Raw genomic sequence first — 25,151 nt, forward strand, 5'->3', positions numbered from 1 at the left:
CCATATGAAATTCCTTTGTCAATATATTCAGCAGAAAATCTGATTGGAAATGTTTTCATATTCTTACTAGCTATGTCAAGTGTACCTCCAATACTGCACAATTTATTTACTCAAAGATTTTTACAGGTTGAGCCTTTCTCTCAAGACAGGTGACCAGATGCAGTGGCTCATGCCTGTAATCCTAACACTTTAGAAGGCCAAGGTGGGAGAATTGCTTGAGCCCAGGAGCTTAAGACCACCTGGGTAACATAGTAAAACCTTGTCTCCATTAAAAAAAAAAAGACAAGCCACTTTTAGTGGCCGTGACTTAGGAGAAGGTACAGGCCCTTCTTCTTTAACCTAGGTTACAGGTTACTAGAACAGACACAGAAGAGAGGAAGCTAAGACAAAAACGATTTTAAGTAGCATTAAAATTTACAAAACTCAGCTCTCTTTCTGCCAGCCAAAAAATCGCTTTCTAGTTCCCAAAGGAATTGGAAAGCAGGGAAGAGGTAAGAACTGATGGCTGGCAGCAGTAAGGGCGCTGCTGAGCAACTGCTCTACCTGAGAGTGGGCCGAGCTGGGGAAGCTGGACTCGGCCTTGGGGTCTGCATCAGTAGCAGATAGAGCATCACCTATCCTCATGTGTAACCTGGCTTTGTGAGATTTTTCTAGTCATCAACTATTGCCCCATAACTCACAGAAGGAATGCTTTTACCCTTCAAGAACACTAGTTAGGTAGAACTCTAGGAACCTTGTTTCATTATTTTTTTTTTTTTTTTGGGATTCTAGAATGTCATGCTCCAACCAGTCCCAAATTTCTCTTTAATCAAAGAGCAGCTGAGTGTTTGGCTGTTCTCCAAAATGATTTCTAGGTTAAAATTAATGAATAAGATATGGGGCTAGATAAAAATAATCTTTCCACGAGAATGCAGATTTTATCCCTTACACATTTCATGCATATTAGAGAAAATAAAAAAGCATAACATGGTATAGAAAAAGATTATGCAATGAGAGAATCTCATGTCTGTCAAGAATCCTCTACCATTTTCTCTCTTTTAGAAAAAATGATTTAAAAAATTATATGTGCTTACTTTGTTTTTGTTTGAAACGAAGTCTCACTCTGTCACCCAGACTGCAGTGCAATGGTGTGATCTTGGCTCACTGCAACCTCCATCTCCCAGGTTCAAGCAATTCTCCTGCCTCAGCCTCCCAAGTAGCTGGGATTACAGGCATGTGCCACCACACCTGGCTAATTTTTGTATTTTTAGTAGAGACAGGGTTCCACCATGTTGGCCAGGCTGGTCTCGAATGCCTGACCTCAGGTGATCCACCTGCCTCAGCCTCCCAAAGTGCTGGGATTGAGCCCAGCACTTTGGGAGTTTTGGATTTGAGCCCAGCACCAGGTGTGAGCCACCGCGCCCGGCCAACTTACTTTGGATATAGGAGAAATATATGCACAGATATTTTGAAATTAGGTTAGAGCTTGCGTGTATAAATTATTTCACCTTTAATCTGAATCACTTTACCTAATTTCACAACCAGGTGCTGTCAGATTGCCTGCCATCTTGAAAGTCCCTTCAACCCAAATCCTTTCTGTGGACTCATCACACAAGGTACCACCTTATGACTACTCCAGGTAGTCATATTTCTGTAAGTTTTTTGGTCAGATTTCGTTGTTTCTGCTCATTGCGATTACTAGGTCAAATGTTTCCAAACTAAAATTGATTTTTTTTTTTCCCCAAAGAGACAAGGTCTGACTATTTTGCCCAGGCTGGTCTCAAAGTCCTGGGCTCAAGTGATCCTCCCACAATGGCCTCCCAAAATGCTGGGGATTACAGGCATGAGCTACCATGCCTGGCAATCCACTACCAATTTTTCAGAAAACTCAGCAAAAATCAATATAAAAAAAAATTCTAAAACTAAAAGTAAGGTAGAATGATGGTGGGTTCTGAACTCAAGACCATGGTTTGAAAAAATGGGTAGGACATGGATAGCTAAATTAAAAGGCCAAAAAGAGGTGGAGCTCAAGACTTCTTGGAGTGAGGCTTAGATGGTGAGGCCAGGAAGGATGCAGGTAGCAATCTGACTTTAGTTTGAGTCCCCCAGTTCTCTAAAGTACTCCCCACCCCACCCAATCTGGTCCCCTCATTAACAGGACTTGTTTGGATGCTGCAGGCATTTGAACACCCATCTCATGTTGGAAATAAGCTCTACACAAAAACTGAACTCTTCCTTCTTAGGCACCAAAGCCATAGTCCTGGAGTGGAGAATTTGCATCTCTCTTTCTTCTGAGAGAAACTCTAGTACGTTTCAATTCTGTTTCCTTCTGGGATGGAGTGGAAAGGTCCTGATAGTGACCCTTCCTAGAAACAAAGGAGGGGAGTCAGCACAGCCTGAGGAAGCCCCTTCCAGGGCTGGAAAGATGACATCTTTGCCCCTCTCCCTCTGCTGGGCTAGGGCAGGCAGCCCTTTCCCTGGGCCACATCTGAGGTCGCTATAGGTTATGGGGGATTTCAGTAAAAAACAATAATTCTGCATCATTTTTTTCTTTCCACTCCTTTTTTCAAAAGTAAGAGCTAGTTTTCTTGTTTGCTTTTTTCTTTCCCAATGGTAGGAGGAATGTTGGGATTGTCCGGAATGGGGAGGGCCTACCCCTTCCCTCTTCAAAACCCTAGAGATTATATGCCTGCATATACTTTTCCCTCAGTGGCCTCCAATTCTGATCAGAAGTTGGTGTTATAGGGGCAGTTCTGGCAAAGGGTGGGGGCCCACACTCCCAGACATGCACATCCTTTTCCCTCATCAGACCTGACTGAGGAGCCACTGCGTAATTGATGCTATGGTGTGAATGTCTCCTCCAAAATTCATGTTGAAATTCAATTGCCATTATGATGAGATTTATGGGTGGGACCTTTAAGAGATGATTAGGTTACGAGGGCTGAGCCCTCAAGAACAATGCCAATATCACAGGAGTGGATTAATTATACTGGAGTGGGCTCCTGATAAAAAGGGTAATTCCAGCCCCCTTTTGCTCTCTGTCTCACATATTCGCTTGCTCTGCTGTCTTCACCATGGGATGATGCAGCATAAAGGCCCCCACCAGGTGCTGGCACCATGCTCTTGGACTTCCCATCCTCTAGAACCATAAGCCAAATAAGTTTTTGTACATTATAAATCACTCAGTCTGTGACATTCTGTTATAACAGCAGAAAACAGATTAAGACAGCTAACTTCATGCCTGGGGGAGGCAAGTGGGGAGAGGCCTTGGAGCCAGTAACTCTTTCTTTTTTCATCCTCTCCTTGAATGAGGTGTCCAAAACACTTCATGCTTCTTCTGATTTTCCAAGCCTGATATGCATTTTATGGATCTTGCAAACTCCAATTGGGCAAACAAAGTTGCTGGAGCCTAGGAAGACCCTCTCCAGTGAATAGTTATTGGTCCAAGACAGAAAATCAGAGCCAGGGCATGTGGAGTTTATTCAAAAGTCTGGGCAATTTGGGCTCTGAGGGAGGAAGATTTTAAAAGGGTGTGGCTAAAGGGCAGATCCTTGGCCTGAAAAACAATGGACGGAGTATGGCTAGGTTGCCTCAGACCAGTTATTAAAGGGATGATGTGTGGGTATCATTAGCAGGACTGGGCCCTAGAATTGGAGGGCCAAGGGGACATGGTATCGGAGCTATGTTTAGGGGTCTTTACATCTATTATTGTTGATCTGACATGGGGAGTAGCTAAGAGGCCCAAAGCAATGACTCATGACTAGAGAACAGTTTGGGCATGGTTAAAGGACCTGCCTCTGCAATCTGGAAGGCTGCAGAGGGGATGTGGTTAAAGGGTCCCTGGAACTGGAGGACATGAGCAGATCATTAAGGACTGCAAAAATTCAGTGGAATAGAGAAGTATTCAGCAAAGACACCTGCAGAAAGAAAGAAAAAGAGAGAAGGCAAGATGGGGAGAGAAAGAGAAACACACAAAGAGAGAGAGAGAATACCTAGGGAAGGAAGCTTTCACAGAAGCTGAAGAAAGTGATCAGTCTGGAGAAGAGGCAGCCCAGCCCTGGAGACCTGGAAAATCCCCTCCCTGCAACTGGCCTGTCTCTAGAACCTAATCACTCCTCCACATGAAAAGGATCAAATTCTCCAAAAAAATCTATTAGATTGATTCTCAAGGGTTGAATTTATGCAGGAAACCCTGACTGTGAATTTGAATTCCTTGCACCCTTTCAGTCAGATGAGTGGCCAAGCTACACAGCCTGAACTTATTGAAGAAATTTTGAACTAAAACAAAGGGATAAGAAAACACGGGAAAGAACTGGTATATGAAAATAAAACAAGTTGATCATTTTTTGATTACTTAAATAAAGCCTGCTTTTTTATTTCATCTGATTCCAAGAAGTAGAAAAGAATGCTTATTTAACAGTTACTGCCATCTTCGCTCACATACAGAGTACATGGGGGAGTCAAGACATTTCCTGAAAATCCCTCAGAGGTGAGTGAGGTAGTGACTTGGGGTAGCAAGACTGTCCTCCTAAGTCAGTTGAGGAGTGACATCGGGATGAAGCTCCACCCACAAGCCCTGCCCACAGAGGTCTTCTCCCTGAGTGTGTCCTCCTTTAGTACAAGATGAGGTTTAACTTATTGCTAATGTGTTTCACATTTTCCCTCCCCACCCATGTAAAGCTTGTCCCAAAAAAGCTGTTCTTTGATGAGGACTTTTTCCTAAGTCCTTGTCCATTCTCCCCACACATGCAGAATTTCTATTCAATATACTCTGGGGCTTACTGCGGGGTGACTCATGGCTGAAGCCTTATCTACACTCCTTATATACCTAACATGTCTTAGAATCAATTATCTGGACAGACAACGAGACAGAAAATTGAGGATTCACTGGGGAGTGAGGGCAGGACTGGGCAGAGGAAGAAGCTGACCTGCAATGTGTCTGCAACCCAGTGATCCTTCAGTTCGATGGGGATCTCTGGATCTGGAATGACCTTCTGGAGTTGTCCCCGTTGAGTCAAGGGTTGGGGCCAGAAGGTACCCCTGCAAAGGTGCATTGCCCCTGTGGTGCATGCAGCTCCCTGTGGCTGAGAGTGAGTTCCAGAGCGGAGTGCATCTCTGGAATGCATCTCTGCCAGCAGCAACACTGTTCTCTCAAGCAGCTGGGGTGTTACCCCTGAAAAGGTCATCTGGGCAGAGCTCCACAGTGTCCCCACATGCAGATTCTCCCTGTGGTGTGTGATCACAAAAGCTTTGCCCATACATCCTACAAACAAAGACCTCCTTCCTGAGGGCCACTCTGTGCCTGAGTGTCCATTCTTTTACTGATGCTCCCCAACACTCCCCAGACAAGGGTGCTTTCCCCTGAGGCTGTCATTGGATGTCTGGTAAATGTTGATTATTGCTAAAGCCTTCCCACAGTCCCTACACATAAACTTCTCTCCTAAGTGTGTCCTTTTGTGCATGCTCAAGGCTGACTGATGGCTACAGTTGCCCGTACTCTATACTCATAAGGCTCCTCTCCTGAACGTGTCCCTCCCATGCCTGATAAGGGCTGACACATCTCTGGAACTTCACTCACAATCTGTGTACACAGGGTCTACTCCCCATGTGTCTCTCTGGGGTAACATGAGGCTTGACTGGTCACTCAGGTCTTGTTCATGACCCCTGCATACACAGGTTTCTCCCGTCAGTGTGTCCTCTGGTGTCTGATGAGATTTGACTTATGACTAAAGCCTCGCCCACACTCCCTACAAACATAATGCTTCTCCCCTGAGTGTGTCCTCTGGTGGACAAGGAGGAGTGATTTCCGGCTAAAGCCTCGGCCACACTCACTGCACACGTAAGGCTTCTCTCCTGAGTGTGTCCTCTCATGTACAATGAGGGTTGACTTGTCACAAAAGCCTCGCCCACATTCCCTGCAAATATAAGGCTTCTCATTTGAGTGCGTCCTCTGGTGTCTGATGAGATTTGACTTCTGGCTAAAACCTCGCCTACACTCCCTGCAGACATAATGCTTCTCCCCTGAGTGTGTCCTCTGGTGGACAAGGAGGAGTGATTTCCGACTAAAGCCTCGGCCACACTCACCACACACATAAGGCTTCTCTCCAGAGTGCGTCCGCTCGTGTATGATGAGGGTTGACTTGTCACAAAAGCCTCGCCCACACTCCCTGCAAACATAAGGCTTCTCATCCAAGTGTGTCCTCTGGTGTTTGATGAGATCTGAGTTCTGGCTAAAGCCTCGCCCACACTCCCTGCAAACATAAGGCTTCTCCCCTGAGTGTATCCTCTGGTGTTTTCTGAGGGTTGACTTATCACAAAAGCTTCGTCCACACTCCAGGCACACATAGGGTTTCTCACCGGAGTGTGTCCTCTGGTGTCTGATGAAGGATGACTTCTCGCTAAAGCCTCGCCCACACTCGCTGCAAACATAGGGCTTCTCCTCTGAGTGAGTCCACTGATGTCTATTGAGGATGGACTTACTTCTAAAGCTTTGCCCACACTCCCTGCACAAATAAGGCTTCTCTTCTGAATGTGTTCTCTGGTGTCTGCTGAGGTTGGACTTCTGGCTAAAACCTCGCCCGCACTCACTGCACACATAAGGCTTCTCCATCGAGTGTATACGATGGTGTCTGATGAGGGTTGATCTATCTTTAAAGCTTCGCCCACAATCACTGCAAATGTAGGGCTTCTTCCCTAAGAGGGTCCTCGGGTTTGTAATAAAGTTTGATTCCAGGTTATGGTCCGGTTCATACTCTCTACAGTTGATTGCTCCAAATCTCAAGGTTTCTAATTCCTTCAAGCCTTTGTCTAGCTGCACAGGGTTTGGTCTTTGGGCTGAGCTGGGCTCTGTTTCTACCACCATGTTGCCTTTTCTAGGACTTGCTGACTGTCTTTGGAGTGGGCTGGGGAATGCCCTTGAGGTTTCTCTCTCCTCTGTCCTTGCAGACCAGGGTTTGGAGCCACCTCCTCTCTCCTGACCTTCTGCATTTTCAAACCAACAGCTTACATGGGAATACTGCTGCCCCTGCTGTTTCCAATGCCCTGGGCTAGAATTCCCTGGATGGAAGTGATTTTCTGCACATAAGCCCAGGAAGATCTGAAGTACATGTTGACTGAGGAACTGCTGACAGGAGAAGGCCAGAAGGCAGGAGGAACAAGTGTAGATTTCTGGCTTTGGTTCTGCTGAAGAATGAAAGTTTTCTGTTAGAGTAGCCATAAGTAGGGCTGCTGAGTTGTTCTGCCTTGTCTTAGGACAGAGAATGTTTTACTGCCATGCCTATAATTGATAATATAAGTATAACACAATTTGCTTCTGAACAATGATTCCTTTACATTCCATCACATTTTCTATTGCAATCCAGAAAATCCATAACAAAAATATCTTGAGAAACCAGGAACCTCTCAAGTGAGTATTCTGCTCTGTAAACAGCTTCAATCATAGTTAGCCTTCTCCTAAGCCATAGACATTCACATTGGTATATACTGTCCACAGCTCTTTGTTCTGCTTGGAGATAGTGGTCTCTATGACACATGTGGAAATCTCCTTCATGACTTTTCTTATTATATAAAAAAGGGTCTGATAGACATAAAAAGTCCCTCATTCTGGAGGGCTTCCGAATGTAGGAGAAAGTGTATGGAATACTGGTTAAAGAAATTATTGTATATAAAACAAATATAAATTTCAGGCTGCCCACCTGTAAACAAAGACTTATTAGAAAATGCCAAAGTACTAGGTTCTCTACTAAGTATTATGAATTCAGTAATGAACAAGAAAGACATGGTCCATGATTTTAGGATTCTGGCACCAAGCCAAAACAACAAAATCTGCCTTTCTTTCCACTTTTCATAAATCAGTAAAAAGAAAAACTTTTCATTTACAGCAGCACCTGCCTACAAAATATCAAAACTAGATGTTGCATTTCATCACAACATGATCTATCCAACTGATGCTGAGAAATGACCACGTACTTGGCCCCAGACCCTACTGGGCCTAACTGAAGACTTCTGCCTAACTAATGAACACTGGAATCTTTATAATCAACTGTATCTGTCCTTAAAAACTCATCCTATCCTATCTGGAATGCTAGTTTTCAAACCTTAATTAGCATAACCATCATGAAACTGCTCCCTAACAGTAAAACCTTTTATTTTTCCCCCTTGCCAAACTATACAGTGAATTTCTTCACTGCTGTGTCTCCTTTCCTGTTAAGTAAATGATTTGTGCCATTTGATTTTTTGACCTTTTGTGGTCTTTGTTTTAGTTTTTGACAATGTGTTTTCCCTTTGGTTGCTCTGACAAGGCACCGACCAGTGCTGGAACTGCTGGACTGCCAGAGGAACACAGCTGTGTGTAGACTGAGCCGTATGTGCTCAAAGCTGCTTGTCTGGCAGCCTTGCCATGGGTGAGGCTCTCAGCAGCTGTCAGGCTCTGCTTGCTGTCACTGAGCACTCCCTGAGTCTGTTTGGTTTACTTGGGTTCTCAAAGTAACTCATTATTTGTTTCTATTTCTGACCCGTCATCTCTTATAAGACTTGTGGTCATTCTGGTACTTTGTGACGTGAACTTTTTGCCTTGATATTTTGACTGTGATTCGCTGCCATCTTTTTGGATTATCTAGAAGCATACCAAGTCATTCAGACTGCAGTCTGAATATATATACGGCAGTGATGTAACACCCTACATCACTGAGAAGCATTTCAGTAGGAGAAGAAATCTCATTTGTGTCTATTTTGTGTCAAACACTGGAACCAAAAGCTCCTTACACTTAACACCCTGTTAAAGGGACCCCATGTATACTCACTATGATTCTAATCCCTACGCCTTACTAGGAAAGTATCATCATTTCACTAAAGATAATTTAGATTTACTGAGGCCATTTTGAGGAACTCTGTTTTCTATCATGCCCCTTTGCTATATAATAATTCAGTATATATTTCTAAAGAACTATATAGTTGAGAGATCTGTCTTGCATCATCAATATATTTACTCATTTGCTTAATCTTAAAATGCAAGGAATAAGGCCGGGTGCAGTGGCTCATGCCAGTACTCTGGGAGGCTGAGGCAGGTGGATCACCTGAGGTCGGGAGTTCCAGACCAGCCTGACCAATGTGGAGAAACCCCATCTCTACTGAAAATACAAAATTAGCCAGGTGTGGTGGCACATGCCTGTAATCCCAACTACTCGAGAGGCTGTGGCAGGAGAATTGCTTGAACCCGGGAGGCAAAGGTTGTGGTGAGCCGAGATTGCACGATTGCACTCTAGCCTGGGCAACAAGAGCGAAACTCCATCTTAAAAAAAAAAAAAAATGCAAGGAATATAGTTTCAGAATTGTGGACCCACATCCTTACAAAACACAAATATACAAAATATAGTCCATATAGTTCATGCACTTCTTTGTCAATAGAGAAGGAGTTGGCCAATTTTTTCTGTAAAGAACCAGAGTAAATATTTTAGGGTTTGTAGGTGACATGGTCTCTATCATGACTGCTTAACTCTGCCATTGTATAACAAAAGCAGCCATAAATAATTCATTGTTCCAAAAAAACTTTATTTACAAAAACAGGCAGTGAGACAGATTTGGCCTGTAGACCCTAGTTTGCCAACCCTCATTTTACTATGGAGTATGGTCAAAGCTCTCTGTTAACGGGGTTGTTTTCCCCTGTTACCTGTGGTCGTGTTATTATTTTGGAACACAGTTAGGTAAATTTGTTTCTCTTTGTATTCGATTGTAGGGATTTTCCCTCTCTTTGTTGATTTAATTCCTTTCTTTGAGTATTTAAACACTAACATGCTCCAAAAGTGCAAAACTATTCAGAAAGGGCATGCCTCTCCTTTCCATAGCCTTCCAGCCAAATCCCACATATAACCTCACAGCTAACCAATCTCATTAGTTTCTGGTTTATTAACCCTGTATTACTTTGTGGGAAAAGAAAAAAAGAAGAAACAGATATGCATATGCTCATAATTTCTCACTTTTAAAAACACTCTTTGCACTTGGCTCTTTTCACTTAATATATCCAAGAATTTACTCCCTATCAGTTCAGAGGAGCTCTTCCCCATTTTGGAAGTCATGTATCATCACTTCTTCAACCAATTTACTACATAAGGGCAATTAGGTTACTCTGATCTTTTATACAGAAACAATGCTACAATGAATAACCCTGTACAAGTGTAATATCTTTGGAGATGAATCTTCAGGGTAAATTCCTATAGGTAGGATTGCCAGGTCAAAGCATATGCATATATAGTTTCGTTACATGTTGCCAAATTTCCCTCCATAATGGCTGCAGCATTTCTGCATTGCCATCTGCAGTGTATAAGGTTGCCTATAGCCCTCAGCTTAGCCAAGTGTTCTGTCAACCTTTTTAAATGCTGCCAATGGTATGTTAAGAATGGTGTGTAGTTTTAATTTGCATTTATCTAATTAGAAGTGAAGTTGAACACCTTTTCAAACATTTAAGGGACAATGTTATATTTTATTTTGTGAATCGTCTATTTAGGTATTTTGCCTATTTTCTTCCTATCTGGTTTTAGGGTTCTTCTCTTTGAATTTTAAGATTCATTCTATGTTATGGAAAATAACTCTTTATATGTGATATACTGTATGTGGCAAATATTTCCTGGAAATTAGTCCTTTCTTTTGACTTTGCTTACAGCGTCAAACTTATCACTCTTCCCTTCTAGGCATCTGGATTTTTAGCCAAATTTAGAAAACCTTTTCCTGTGTCCAGGTGATAGAATATTTACCCCCATCCTATCCTAGTGTGTTTACGGTTTAATTTTTTACATTTAGATCTCTAGTCATTTGGGATTTTTCTTGTGTATGGTGTGTGGTATATGGTCCAATGTTATGTTTTTCCAAATGGATATCTAGTTGCCCAACACCATTTATTAAAATGTCCATCTTTACTCCAGGAATTTGAGATGCCACCTTCATCACATACCAAAGTTCCATAAGTACTTGGGTTGACTTCTTGATTCCACTGGTCTATTTGTCTAGTCATGGGCCAGCACCACAATGTTTTCTTTCTTTATTTTCTCCTTGCAGCTTCAACTCAAAGGACACATTTTAATTCTAAAGGTTTTGTAGCATATTTTAGTGTCTGATAAGGATAGTACCCTGTTATAGCTTTTATTTTTCAGTGCATTCTTGCCTATTTTTCCACCTTTATTTTTCCATGTGAATTTCAGAAAAGAATTTCACTGTTTTATTGGGACATGTTAACTTTATGAATTACCTTAGGGATAAGTGACAACCTGATTTTAATCTATAAAAATATTTTTTGAGGCCGTGCATTGTGGCTCACACCTGTAATCCCAGCACTTTGGGACGCCCACGCAGGTGGATCACTTTAGACCAGAAGCTTGAGACCAGCCTGGGCAACATGGCAAAACCCTGCCTCTACTAAAAATACAAACAATTAGCTGGCATGGTGGCATGCACCTGTAGTCCCAGCTACTAGGAAGGTTGAGGTGGGAGAATCACCTGAGCCCAGGAAGTCGAGGCTGCAGTGAGCTATGATCATGCCACTGCACTCCAGCCTGGATGACAGACGTGAGACCCTGTCTCAAAATATATATAAATTTTTTTTAAATCAAAGAAATTTGAACACAGATTTCGTATTAGATACCATTAACTTTGTTGAACGTAGTAATGGTATTGTGGTTATGTAAGAATCCATTTTCACTTTTTAGAGAAATGTGGTATATTTAAGGGTGTCGTGATATTTAGAATTAACTTTGAAATAATTTGGCCAGAAAGGGAGAAGTGAATGATAATGCAAGCTGGTAATGTGTTAATAACTATTAAGTCTAGATAATTCATGTTCCTCCTTGACCTATCAGCCCTACGAACACTTATTTCTCAGATTCAACCTAAGCTACCCTCTTGTAGCAAACTGTATTTTGCTCATAATATCTGCTGTTCCTCCCCACTGAGCCCATCTCTGAAGAAGGATTCTCTTTCCCACCACGATGACATCAGACTTAGCTGTGGGATTTGCTTTGGCCAATGAAGGTTAGTGGGAAGTTAATGCACTTTCAAACAAGTGTTAAGAGCCAGGATGTGGTCCCATCATTGCTCTTTTTCCCTCTACCTTGAGAACCCCATGATCCAGACAGAAACTGCTCCTTTTGCTTGGATCCCAGAACCAAAATAGCTGAACCACACCTGAAGTAACCAAGAGGTAATGTGAGAAATGAGCATTTGCTATTATAAGCCACTAAAGTATTGGGGTTGTTTATCACAGTATTATCTGGCCTAAGCTTATTAAACTGTCTCCCCTGTGAAGGCTTTAAAGATTATTTCAGAAAGAATTGGCCCATTATTTCTAACAATGCCCTTGAAGAAAAGACATTAACATGAATATGTGAAGAAAGAGAGAAAAAGAGACTCGGGCCGGGCTATGGCTCACACCTGCAATCCCAGCACTCTGGGAGGCTGGGGTGGGTGGATTGCTTAAGCCCAAGAGTTCGAGACCAGCCTGGACAACATGGCAAAACCCTGTCTGAAAAAAAAAGAAATAAAGTAAAATAAAAGAAGGAAAGAAAAGGAAAGGGGAAGGGGGAAAAAGCGAACAAAGGGGAAAATGGAAAGAGGAAAGAAAGAGAGAGACTGGTTTAGGAGGAAAAACAGTATGCTCTCAAGTTTTTATAACTTTGAGAATAAGCTTGTGGTTGCAGGCAAGGAGAAAGATGGGGATGAAGCACAGGTGAGACAGCGATAGATAATGGCTTCATTATAATGTGTGATGGGGAAACTCATTCAAGTTCTCAAATTGTTAAATGGTGTGAATACAAACACAGAAAAGGAGTATGTGACACTGACTCCTACGGACCCCTGCAGCCCAGAGAAAAGAAAAAGAAGGAAGGGAATAGCCCAAAAGAGAGACGTCAGAGGCTGGAGACTGCGGAACATTATGGTGTCAAGCAAGACAAAGGAAACGATTTCAAGGAATGCAATTGGGATCCAGGTTTTCAATATCAAGATTCATTTGAACTAGGTCATTTGTTTGTGTGTGTGTTTGTTTGTTTGTTTGCTGTTTTATGGGTCTTTTTTTTGGTTTTTGTTTTTTTTTTTGAGATGGAGTTTTGCTCTTGTTCCCCAGGCTGGAGTGCAATGGCATGATCTCAGCTCACTGCAACCTCCACCTCCTGGGTTCAAGTGAATCTCCTGCCTCAGCCTCCTGAGTAGCTGGGATTACAGGTGCCCGCCACCACACTTGGCTATGAACCAGGTCAGTTTTAACATTTTCCTCTGAATCAGTTATATGTATTAACAGTGGAAGAGAAAACAGTATGACCAGAGAAAAATAAAAACAAAACCTAGTTGGACTAACCAGCTAAGGCCAAATCAAAACACACAAAACCATTTACAAAAATTATAAATCATTTTTTTAAAAGGAAAAACACACACAGAACGAGTCCGAAATGGATGAATCTACAGTGATTTAGATGGAGCCAGGTCAGATGGGCGCTAGTTCAAACCAGAGCGAATCAGATCAAAACACATCAAAGAAGATGAAAATGGAATAAAGTAAATCTGATTAAATCATATCAGGGAAACAGCCACGCCATTTGGAGCAAACTCCCAAAGAAACTCCTCCCTGAAACTGGTTTGTGTCTCCAAAAATGTGATTCTTCTCTACATGTTTTATCTAGAAACATAGGAATATCTAGAACAGTACTATCCAGTATAGCAGCCACTGGCCATGTGCTCATTGAGCACTTGAAACATGGCTAATCTGAACTAAGATGTGCTCTAAGTGTAAAATACAACCAGGTTTCAAAGACAGTACAAAAAAATAAGTAAAATACCTAATTAATAAGTTTTATGTTAATTTCATGTTAAAATGATATTTTAATATATTGGATTAAATAATATATATAGTCTTAAAGTTGATTTCACCTGTAGTTATACTTGTAAAAATGTGGTTACTAGGAAATTTAAACTTACCTATGTGGCTCACATTATATTTCTACTAGACAGCACTGATCTAGAACAAGGAGTGGAAAATGACTACCCACAAGCTAAATCCAGTCCTCTGTTTTTGTATCACCTACAAGCTAAGAATGGTTTTTACATTTTTAAATGGCTAGAAAAAAGTAAAAAGAGTAGTAATATTTCATGATACATAAACATTATATTAAATTCAAATTTCAGTGTCTATAAAGAAAGTTTTATTGGAACATATCAATGCTCATCCGTTCACATACTGTTTATGGCTGCAACTCAATGGCAAGTTAAGGGTTGTTACAGAGGGCTTATCACCTGTAAAAACAGTTATTGTTTGGCCCTTTACAGAAAAAGTTGGCCAACCCCTGATCTAGAGTTATGTTGCAATTGATAACATTTATCAACCCAGATTTAAATATTTTTTTATTTTTTTTTATTTTTTCAGACTGAGTTTCACTCTGTCACCAGGCTGGAGTGCAACGGCACAATCTCGGCTCACTGCAACCTCTGACTCCCTGGTTCAAGTGATTCTCCTGCCTCAGGCTCCCAAGTAGCTGAGATTACAGGCACATGCCACCATGCTCAGCTAATTTTTGTATTTTTAGTAGAGATGGGATTTCACTATGTTGGCCAGGATGGTCTCGATCTCCTGACCTCGTTTAGGTTTGTAAACAAATGAAAAAGAAAAAAACATAGTTTATGAAACCCCCAAACCACAATAAACTTGACTCTTAATTTTAACTTATGTCACAGAGCTGCATCTCTCCCCCTTGCAAACCATGCCCCCAGCCTTGCTTGCCTCCTTGCAGCTTCATATACTGGGCAGGTACATCCCTTCATTAAGGTCTTCGTGTCAATAATTCCCTTCACCTGAAATGCTCTTACACTAGATACCTACAGTTCTAACCTCCTCACCACATTATGTCTTTAGACAAATATTACTTCTTCACTGATTTCAAATACCCAGTTTTAAACTTCAGCCAGCCACCCTATCACACCCAATACCCCTTTATCCTGCCTTATTTCATTATTTTTTACTATGTTGCACTTATCACCTTTTAACATACCATATTATAATATCCCTGTATATGAGGCTTTTTGTTTGTTGTCTGTCTCCTTACACTAGAAAGTAAGCCCCATGGAGGCAGGGATTACGATTTTGTTTACTAATGTGTTGTAAGTATCTAGAACATTTTTTTGTGGTACATATTAGGTGATCAGTAAATCTCTACTGAATTAATGAAGGAAAGGAAAGAACACAGCCTTACCCAATGAGAGAAGATTCCTGTAATTCTCCAGCATCACTTCTTTGTATAGATTCCTCTGCTCTGGACTCAGTCTCTTCCATTCTGCTTCTGTGAAGATCACAGTCACATCCCTGAATGTAACTGGTACCTACAAACAACCAGTAAATTAATGTATAGCAAGCCACCATCAATCTTCCCTGTGTGTGGAGCACAGCTGGTGACCCTGGAGAGCCTGGATATGCAAGTTGATGTAATTCGTCAGAATATATGGTTCTCCATATGAAGTTCTTCTGAGCACTACTGTCTGCCTGGCTTTCTGTTAAAACCTGTGAGGAGCATAACTGAGCACAGAACACATTCTAGGCCCTTGACATATATGATTTCACCGGAGAAATGATTTGTGAATTAATTTGTAAACCTCAGGCTGTGTTTAAGACAGTGACTTTGAGGATTCATAATGAAGGAATTCAGAGATGAAACAGCAGAGAATGGGCTGCAGAAGGAACAAAAGCATCATGGACTTGGGGCTTGTGCTGGGCAGTAGGGAGTGGTAAAGATTTAGAGGAGAGAATGGAAGAAAACTTGGATTACAGAGAAAAATGGGAGTGAACAGATGGGGTCTGGAATGAGCATTTTTTAAAAGCTCAGGTTACTAAATGGGATCTGTAAAATCCCTGTCTTTGCTATGTGCTTTGACAACTTTTTTCAAGAAAGCCTAATGCTTCACTCATCTACCCAGATGTTGACCGCCTTTTCCTTTCCCAAGAAAGAGAATATATGTCTATTCTCTGGAAAATGAGCCAGCACTTCAGGAAAAAAAAAAAATGTAACCCCAACTCACCACTATTTGGGCCTTTCCCTCCTTTTTCTGGGGGCAGTCAGTATCATTAGAAGGCAAGCCTAGGGAAAGAAAAAGAAGCTATGAGAAACCAGACCCCCCCACCCCCCACCCCCCACCATGACGCTCCCTGAGCAGCTCTTCTGAGCCTTAGGATGAAGGAAGTAGTCACTTAACTCAGAGGTGACCTCTGAAGCATTTTCAGGTGAACCTGGAGCCTTGGCTTCCTCTTCATCCCTCCGGCTCCCTCAACAATTCTCACCTTTCGCTTTATGATTTTGGGTCAATTTCTTCATAGTCTCTACATTTTCCCCATTCTTTGGAAGCAAAATCTCTTCCCAGTATTGATCTCCCAGTGCTGAAGGATAAGGCAACATCATGGCGCCAGAGTCAGCCCAGTGTGTGCCTTGAAATTCTGCCAGAGGTCCAGGTAGATGTTATTTCATCTCAAGATGGAGTTCTGCTGCCTGTGGTGACTTCTTCCAACCTTAATTATAAAAAGCCCAGCTTGTTTCCCTGCAGCCAGGACCTGTGGGATGAAGAAGCAATTTGCTATTGCTGGGGCTTTTATTGTGGGCCCTAGGCCTATGCCTCTTCAACAGGGATCCTGTCCTCTCACACCCTCCTCATTCAACAAACACGGAGTCTCCATCTACATGGGATCCCTGGATTTTCTACCTTCATTCACTCTACCTTCATTTCTAGGCCCTCCTGCTTGTGTTCTGCCACTCTCCCTTAGCTCTCAAACTTTACTTCTTCTGCCTCTGCACCTCAGATTCAAACTCTATGTTTTGGATCAGTCTCTGCTACTACCTGAAGCCTGAGTCAGAGAGAAGACAGAATATAGCATAATGCCTGTGGAGAAAGAGCCTCTGACTGTTTCCTGTAGACCAACTGGGGCGTGCAGAACTCAGCTTCTGATTCCCCTGCCCCAACCCAAGGTTCCATCTATATTCAGTTCCTTGTGTCTTGGATGGGCACAGTGGTTCACACCTGTAATCTCAGTACTTTGGGAGGCCACGGCAAGCTAATCACTTAAGCTCAGGAGCTCAAGACCAGTCTGGGCAACATAGCGAAATGCCGTCTCTACAAAAAATACAAAAATCAGCTGGGCATGGTGGTGTGCGCCTGTAGTCCCAGCTACTCAGCAGGCTGAGGTGGGAGGATCACCTGACCTCGGGAAGTCGAGGCTGCAGTGAGCTGAGATCATGCCATTGCACTCTAGCCTGGACGGCAGGAGTAAGACCCTGTCTCAAGAAAAAAAAAAAAAATCCCTATGTCCCTGTATTGTGAGGAGTTTAGGAGATCAAAACTCAGTCCTTCTTAGTTAAGGGAGAGCTCCAGTTCTCACAATTACTCTGAAGAGATAACCTCCTAGCTTCCATTGCTATGCATGTCTACCACATGACCTTACCACAGATGTGCATTTGTGTATCCTGATGGGCCCAAGTCAAAGTCCTACACTGATGTGGTCCCAAAGAAGGCAGGTGGTATTAGGAGCTATGCCACCTTCAAAAGCTCCTCAGACGCTGTCCAGGATTTCAGCCCAAATGGCTACAGGCCTATTGTTGCCTAGTACCCTTCTGAGACTAGCTGGGGTCTCTAAGCAGCTCTTGTAATTCATCCCTCAACACCATAGGTAGAGATGACCACTCCCTCTTCTGTCCAACCTGGCCATCATACCATATTGCAATTTCTCTATTTACGTGACTGTCTTTACTAAACTGTGAAGCTTCTTGTAAGATGAAATGCTTCTCAGTCTTTTTGCTAATATAATTCTAGTGATTAGAATAAAAGAGGCCTTTGTGGTAGATTTTATCATCGTTCCCAATTATTTGTTGCCCTATAAAAGGATGGTACTTCCCTGTCCCAGACATCAGGCTTGACCTTGTAACTTGCCTTGGAAAATGAATGTGAGTGAAAGCGACGATGCCATTTCTAAGCATTGCATAATTCCACCATTTCTTTTGTTCTGAGAACAGCATGTCCGAAGAGGGACTGTGGTTCTACTGTAAAAAGTCATGGTACAAAGCTAAAGCCAACCTATAGTACCTGCAGTATAACGTAGCTGAAGCTGACAAAGCCTTTCTCCTAGTAACACTAGTATCTGTAGCTAACAGTTATAAAGCAAGATCTGTACTAAGTGCAGACTTTTTTTTTTCTTTTTTCTTTTTTTTTTTTTTGAGACAGAGTCTCACCCTGTTGCCCAGGCTGGAGTGCAGTGGTGCAATCTTGGCTCACCGCAACCTCTGCCTCCCAGGTTCAAGTGATTCTTTTGCCTCAGCCTCCCAAGTACCTGGGATTACAGGCACCTGCCACCACATCCAGCTAATTGTTTGAATTTTTAGTAGAGATGGGGTTTCACCATGTTGGCCAGGCTGGTCTCGAACTCCTGACTTTGTGATCCGTCTGCCTCGGCCTCCCAACGCGCTGGGATTACAGGCGTGAGCCACCATGCCCGGCTACTAAATGCAGTATTCCAACATTTGGGACACTGCCACAAATGCAACAGAAAAAATACCAGCACTCGTGTAGCTGCCATTTTAGTGGGGTTTAGGGGCAAGGAGATGGACAAAAAAAATATATACCTCAGAAAAGACACAAGATATCAGACGGAGATAAGTACTGAGGGCACCAGAAGGATCCAGTGGCAGAGACTGAAGGAGTTGCAATTTTAAATCGAGTATTTAAGGAAAGCCTTTTAAAGGTGATTACTTGAGATTTGAACAATGTGAGGGAGTGATTCATGTGGGCAACTGTGTCAGTAGAACTATAAGGAAAGAAACCAGCCCATTGAAGGTCCTAGGGCAGGAGTGAGCCCTGCTATTTCAGAAATAACAAGTTCACTGTGGCAGGAGGGTGTAAGTGAAACACAGTGGTGGCAGTTAAGAGCAGTCAACGACAGCGGTACCAGGGCACAGGTCATGTGCAGCCTTGAGCATGCTGGTTTTGATGTGGAGGGAAATGAGAAGCCATTGGAGTATTTGGAGCAGAGGAATAACAAGCTTGGATTTACATTTTAAAAGATGTCTCTGGCTGGTAGACTAGGAACAGACAAAGGGGACAGAGAACAAGGAGAGAAGCAAGGAAATCCTGTAAAGGCTGTTGAAATAATTCAGGTGGGAGATAATGGTGGTTTGGACGAAAGTGGACACAGTGTAGGTGGTAAATAGCAATCACATCCTGAATTTCCTTATTGTATGTCAGTTGTGAGATGAAAAAAAAATCAAAGACAATTCTAGTATTTTTGCCTGGAGCAGTTGGAAGGATAAGACTTACCATCAGCCAGGCACGGTGACTCATGCCTTTAATCCCAGCACTGTGGGAGGCCGAGGTGGGCAGATCACCTGAGGTCGGGAGTTTGAGACCAGCCTGACCAACATGGAGAAACCCCATCTCTACTAAAAATACAAAATTAGCCGGGCATGGTGGCACATGCCTGTAATCCCAGCTACTCGGGAGGCTGAGGCAGGAGAATTGCTTGAACCCGGGAGACAGAGGTTGCGGTGAGCCGAGATCGCACCACTGCACTCCAGCCTGGGCAACAAAAGCAAAACTCTGTCTAAAAAAAAAAATTTTACCATCAACAGGTGTGAGGAAAGCTATAACTGGAGCAAATTTTGGGGGAGAAGAACAAAGTTTGATGTTTGAGACTAGGTTTGAGATGCTAAATACAGATCCAAGTGGAGATTACAAGTAGGCAATTAGTCATCCAATACTGGAGGGGAAGGAAGAGGTCTACACTAGAGTCATATAGATGGATTTAAAGTCCTCAGAGTGGAGGAGATCACCAAGGCAGAGGAGGAAGATGGAGGAATTGTCAAGGACTAAGCTCTGGAGGACTCCACAGTTAGGAGGCCAGGGAAAAAAAGAACCGTCAGGGAAGACAGAGAAGTAGCCTGTGAGGGAGGGAAGAAAAGGAGAGGTACATACAGTACTGGAGCCAAGTGACAAGGTGTGTCAAGGAGGAAGAAGAGATCGACCACAGGAATTGCTGCCAAGAAGACAGAGTAAAATAAAGACTGGAAATTCATTCCTGTGTTTAGCACAGTAGTGGCTGCTGGTGACCTTGGCAAGAACAGTTTCTGGAGGGTGAGCTACAAAAGGATTTAAAACAGAATGGAAAAATAGAACTGGAGGCAACAAGTATAGACCATTCTTTTGGGGAGTTTTGCAATAAAGGAAAGCAGAGAAATGGGGTAATAGCTGAAGGGAGAGATCACACTCAAAAGTAGCTCAAAACCTTCAAGTGGTTCCCTGATGGCCACAGAGTGAGTCCAACTCACTAACTTGGTATCCTGGCCTTTCTTAATAATGGCCCAACCTACTTCTCAATCTGAACCCCCCGTACCCACCCGCCCCGGCTCCTTCATATGGCTCCTCCATATGGCTCCTCCACGGCCAGGAAGCAGGGCTGCTCAAATGCTCACGAAGACTGATTTAGTCCTGCTAGTTGTTAGGCACTGTGTCAGTGACCCAAAATGAGCAAGAGGTCCCTGATCCTTAAAGAGCCACTTCATGGTCCAGTGAGGGAAAGTACTCATATATAAAGTGCTTCAGGCCAGGCGTGGTGGCTCATGCCTGGAATCCCAGCATTTTGGGAGGCTGAGGCGGGTGGATCACCTGAGGTCAGGAGGGCAAGACCAGCCTGACCAACACGGAGAAGCCCTGTCTCCTCTAAAAATACAAAATTAGCCGGGCGTGGTGGCGCATGCCTATAATCCCAGCTACTTGGGAGGCTGAGAAAGGAGAATCACTTGAACCCAGGAGACGGAGGTTGCGGTGAGCCGAGATAGTGCCATTGCACTCCAGCCTGCGCAAAAAGAGCAAAACTCCGTCTCCAAAAAAATAAAAAGTGCTTTGGTGCTGAAGAAGAGGCTGAGGGCAACTTTCCCTGAGAAAATCAAGGCATGCTTTGCAATGGAGTAAATGTGTGACTAAATCAATAGGAGTTCAATTGCCAAGTAGAAAACCACAGAGGAATAAAACAGCACAGAATGGAATCTATTCCCACACAGCTACAAGGGCACTACAACAAAGGGAGTAAGTGGTAGGGACAAGACTGAAAAGGTGAGCTGAGAGATAATTCAGATATTCATCAGATATCAATATTAACAATCCCAGTCCATATTTAGTAAGCATATATTATGTGCCAGGCACTACCTTATAGGAATTATCTGCCAGGCCGTATAGGAATTACCACATTTCTTCCTCACAACTCCCTGAGATGGGCACTATTATTTTCTCCATTATACAGATGAGGAGTAGAAAGCACAGAGAGTGAAATAATGTCTCCAGGGTTACACAGCTAATGTGCGGTGAAGACAGGCTTTGAATCTAGGCAATCTGTCTCCAGAGCCCACACCCAGGCTGAAGCGCAGTGGTGTGATCTCAGCTTACTGCAACCTCCACTTTCCAGGCTCAAGCCATCCTCCCATCTCAGCCTCCTGAGTAGCTGGGACCACAGGTGTGCAGCACCACGCCCAGATAATTTTTCTATTTTTAGTAGAGACGGGGTTTTGTCATGTTGTCCAGGCTGAGTTCAAGTGATCCATCACTTCAGCCTCCCAAAGTGCTGGGATTACAGGCGTGAGCCACCGCATGTGGCCTCACACTCTAATTATTGAGTTTGGACAGAGTTGGAGGTAGGTAATAAGAAATGGCCCTCTTCCGGGCGCGGTGGCTCACGCCTGTAATCCCAGCACTTTGGGAGGCCGAGGTGGGCGGATCACGAGGTCAGGAGATCGAGACCATCCCGGCTAAAACGGTGAAACCCCGTCTCTACTAAAAATACAAAAAATTAGCCGGGCGTAGTGGCGGGCACCTGTAGTCCCAGCTACTTGGGAGGCTGAGGCAGGAGAATGGCGTGAACCTGGGAGGCGGAGCTTGCAGTGAGCCGAGATCCCGCCACTGCACTCCAGCCTGGGCGACAGAGCGAGACTCCGTCTCAAAAAAAAAAAAAAAAAAAAAAAAAAAGAAAAAGAAATGGCCCTCTTGAGTAGGTGAGTGGCATGATCCTTATTTTTCCTTCAGAGGAGCAACTTAAAAGGCAGGGTGGAAGGTGAACTAGAATGTGGAGAAAAGATGAAAATTTGGGTAGCACAACAGTGAGATGAGGGGAAAATAATAAAGGGGTATTCCAAGGTAGAATTGAGAGGACTCCATCACTAATTAGAAGGATGAGAATTTCAGGAAGAACAAGGAGGCAAGAAAGACTCAGAGCTCCGGCTGGTGACCAGGGATGGAGACACGGTCATTAACAGAAATCATCAACAGGTAAAGAGAAAAGGGAGTGGGAGAATTGGCCTTGCTGAATTCCAGATACTTCTCCCTCTTATAGTTCTTACCTGAATTGTTAAGTGTGTACAGTTTGAACTAAGCAATAGCAATTTTGTAGAAGAAATGGGCAGATTTTAAAACAATCTAGAGTTAAGACATTAAGGAATTACTGTCGATTTTGTTGAATGTGGTAATATTATGGTTACATTTTTAACAAATAGTCCTTCTCTGTTGGAAATGCATAGGATAGTATTTATAGGTAAAATTATGTGATGTCTGGGATTTCCTTCCAAATACTCCAGCAGCAAAAACAAGAAAATGAGGAGGTGGGGGGCTCAATGAAACAGGGATTATAGAATGTTGATAACTGAGGAAGCTCTAAATCCTAATTCTACCCAACCCGGTCATATTACACAAGTAAATTTCTTAACCTCTTAACATGCCACTTCTTCTTCTATCAATTCAGAGTTTTGATTCCTAACTTTCAAATTGTTGAGAGTTTAAAATATTGTGGAGACTATAAACCCAGTTGCCTGGCACAGAACAATGGCCCAATAAATGCTAATTACCATCATTTTTTATTTCACAGTAGCTGACAAATCCCTGGGAATCCAGCAGCCAAGATGAAATATGGCTGGGGCAAGGACGGTGATAACCTGAATGAGAGTACCAGTCTGGGGTAATATTCCCTGTGGAGATCCTTGCCCTTAAAATCACCCCAGTATTGTAGAAAAACAAGCAAGGCCTTGAGCCTCAATTGGAACACTTCAGGGTACAAGATGTCAGACGGGCAAAGGAAATACAGCCATGGTTTCGAGCAGAAAAGACGCTATGGGAATGTGAAAGGTAAGTGGTACCTACCTGATAGGAAGTTCTCGGGAGCACAGAAGTCTTTCCTTTCTCAAGAGATCGTCCTCTCCCAGCAGGCAGGGATTGGAGAAGGTGGACCTGAGGATGAAACAGGCAGTGTGAGATTCAGGATTGTCTCCTACCACCCAGATATGGAGGCTAGAAATCCCCAAGTTTAAAATGAGACGAGCCAAGATGGCCGAATAGGAACAGCTCCAGTCTACAGCTCCGAGCGCGAGCGACGCGGAAGACAGGTGTTTTCTGCATTTCCAACTGAGGTACCGGGTTTATCTCACTGGGGAGTGTCAGAAAGTGGGTGCAGGACAGTGGGTGCAGAGCACCGAGTGTTAGCCGAAGCAGGGTGAGGCACTGCCTCACCCGGGAAGTGCAAGGGGTCAGGGAATTCCTTTCCTAGTCAAAGAAAGGGGTGAGAGAGGGCACCTGGAAAATTGGGTCACTCCCACCCTAATACTGCGCTTTTCCAATGGTCTTAGCAAACGGCACACCAAGAGATTATATCCCGCGCCTGGCTCAGTGGGTCCTACGCCCATGGACCCTCGCTCATTGCTAGCACAGCAGTCTGAGATCAAACTGCAAGGCGGCAGCGAGGCTGGGGGAGGGGCACCCACCATTGCTGAGGCTTGAGTAGGTAAACAAAGCGTCCAGGAAGCTCGAACTGGGTGAAGCCCACTGCAGCTCAAGGAGGCCTGCCTGCCTGCCTCTGTAGACTCCACCTCTGGGGGCAGGGCATTGCCAAACAAAAGGCAGCAGAATCCTCTGCAGACTTAAATGTCCCTGTCTGACAGCTTTGAAGAGAGTATTGGTTCTCCCAGCACGCAGCTGGAGATCTGAGAATGGACAGACTGCCTCCTCAGGTGGGTCCCTGACCCCTGAGTAGCCTAACTGGGAGGCACCCCCCAGTAGGGGCAGACTGACACCTCACATGGACGGGTACTCCTCTGAGACAAAACTTCCAGAGGAACGATCAGGCAGCAACATTTGCTGTTCACCAATATCCACTGTTCTGCAGCCTCCGCTGCTGATACCCAGTCAAACAGGGTTTGGAGTGGACCTCCAGCAAACTCCAACAGATCTGCAGCTGAAGGTCCTGACTGTTAGAAAGAAAACTAACAAACAGAAAGGACATCCACACCAAAACCCCATCTGTATGTCACTATCATCAAAGACCAAAGGTACATAAAACCACAAAGATGGGGAAAAAACAGAGCAGAAAAACTGGAAACTCTTAAAAATCAGAGTGCCTCTCCTCCTCCAAAGGAATGCAGCTCCTCACTAGCAACGGAACAAAGCTGGATGGAGAATGACTTTGACAAGTTGAGAGAAGAAGGCTTCAGACGATCAAACTACTCTGAGCTAAAGGAGGAAGTTCGAACCCATGGCAAAGAAGTTAAAAACCTTGAAAAAAAATTAGACGAATGCCTAACTAGAATAACCAATGCAGAGAAGTCCTTAAAAGACCTGATGGAGCTGAAAACCATGGCACGAGAACTACGTGACGAATGCACAAGCCTCAGTAGCCGACTTGATCAACTGGAAGAAAGGGTATCAGTGATGGAAGATCAAATGAATGAAATGAAGCAAGAAGAGAAGTTAGAGAAAAAAGAATAAAAAGAAACAAACAAAGCCTCCAAGAAATATGGGACTATGTGAAAAGACCAAATCTACGTCTGATTGGTGTATCTGAAAGTGATGGGGAGAATGGAACCAAGTTGGAAAACACTCTGCAGGATATTATCCAGGAGAACTTCCCCAACCTAGCAAGGCAGGCCAACACTGAAATTCAGGAAATACAGAGAACGCCACAAAGATACTCCTCGAGAAGAGCAACTCCAAGACACATAATTGTCAGATTCACCAAAGTTGAAATGAAGGAAAAAATGTTAAGGGCAGCCAGAGAGAAAGGTCGGGTTACCCACAAAGGGAAGCCCATCAGACTAACAGCTGATCTCTCGGCAGAAACTCTACAAGCCAGAAGAGAGTGG

At 43.5% G+C, this 25,151-nt stretch overlaps 1 protein-coding gene across 18 annotated transcripts in view, besides 1 other annotated feature; it reads right to left on the reverse strand.

The window, feature by feature from the left end:
• Positions 1-4,321: 4,321 nt before the first annotated feature.
• Positions 4,322-25,151, reverse strand: part of ZNF343 (zinc finger protein 343) — a 43,183-nt gene continuing 22,353 nt past the window's right edge. For 3 of the 18 annotated variants that reach the window (XM_047440474.1, NM_001321802.2, NM_001321803.2), the window contains exons 2-7: positions 23,161-23,247; positions 16,283-16,549; positions 16,024-16,082; positions 15,204-15,330; positions 9,146-9,268; positions 4,322-7,158 (exon numbers count right to left, since the gene is read on the reverse strand). In XM_047440474.1, the coding sequence (XP_047296430.1) occupies positions 5,666-7,158; positions 9,146-9,268; positions 15,204-15,330; positions 16,024-16,082; positions 16,283-16,400 (1,920 nt within the window). In that variant the 5' untranslated portion in view covers positions 16,401-16,549; positions 23,161-23,247 and the 3' untranslated portion in view covers positions 4,322-5,665. 18 annotated transcript variants of the gene reach the window in all.
• Positions 22,769-23,968: an enhancer, noted in NCBI's record as "MED14-independent group 3 enhancer chr20:2480910-2482109 (GRCh37/hg19 assembly coordinates)". NCBI's record gives its function as "activates an origin of replication core promoter dependent on BRD2, BRD4, P300/CBP and CDK7 cofactors, and independent of MED14, by STARR-seq in HCT116 cells {active_cell/tissue: HCT116}" and the evidence as "EXISTENCE:reporter gene assay evidence [ECO:0000049][PMID:35650434]".

The sequence above is a fragment of the Homo sapiens genome, chromosome 20 (genome assembly GCF_000001405.40).
Source record: "Homo sapiens chromosome 20, GRCh38.p14 Primary Assembly".
Lineage (NCBI taxonomy): Eukaryota > Metazoa > Chordata > Mammalia > Primates > Hominidae > Homo > Homo sapiens.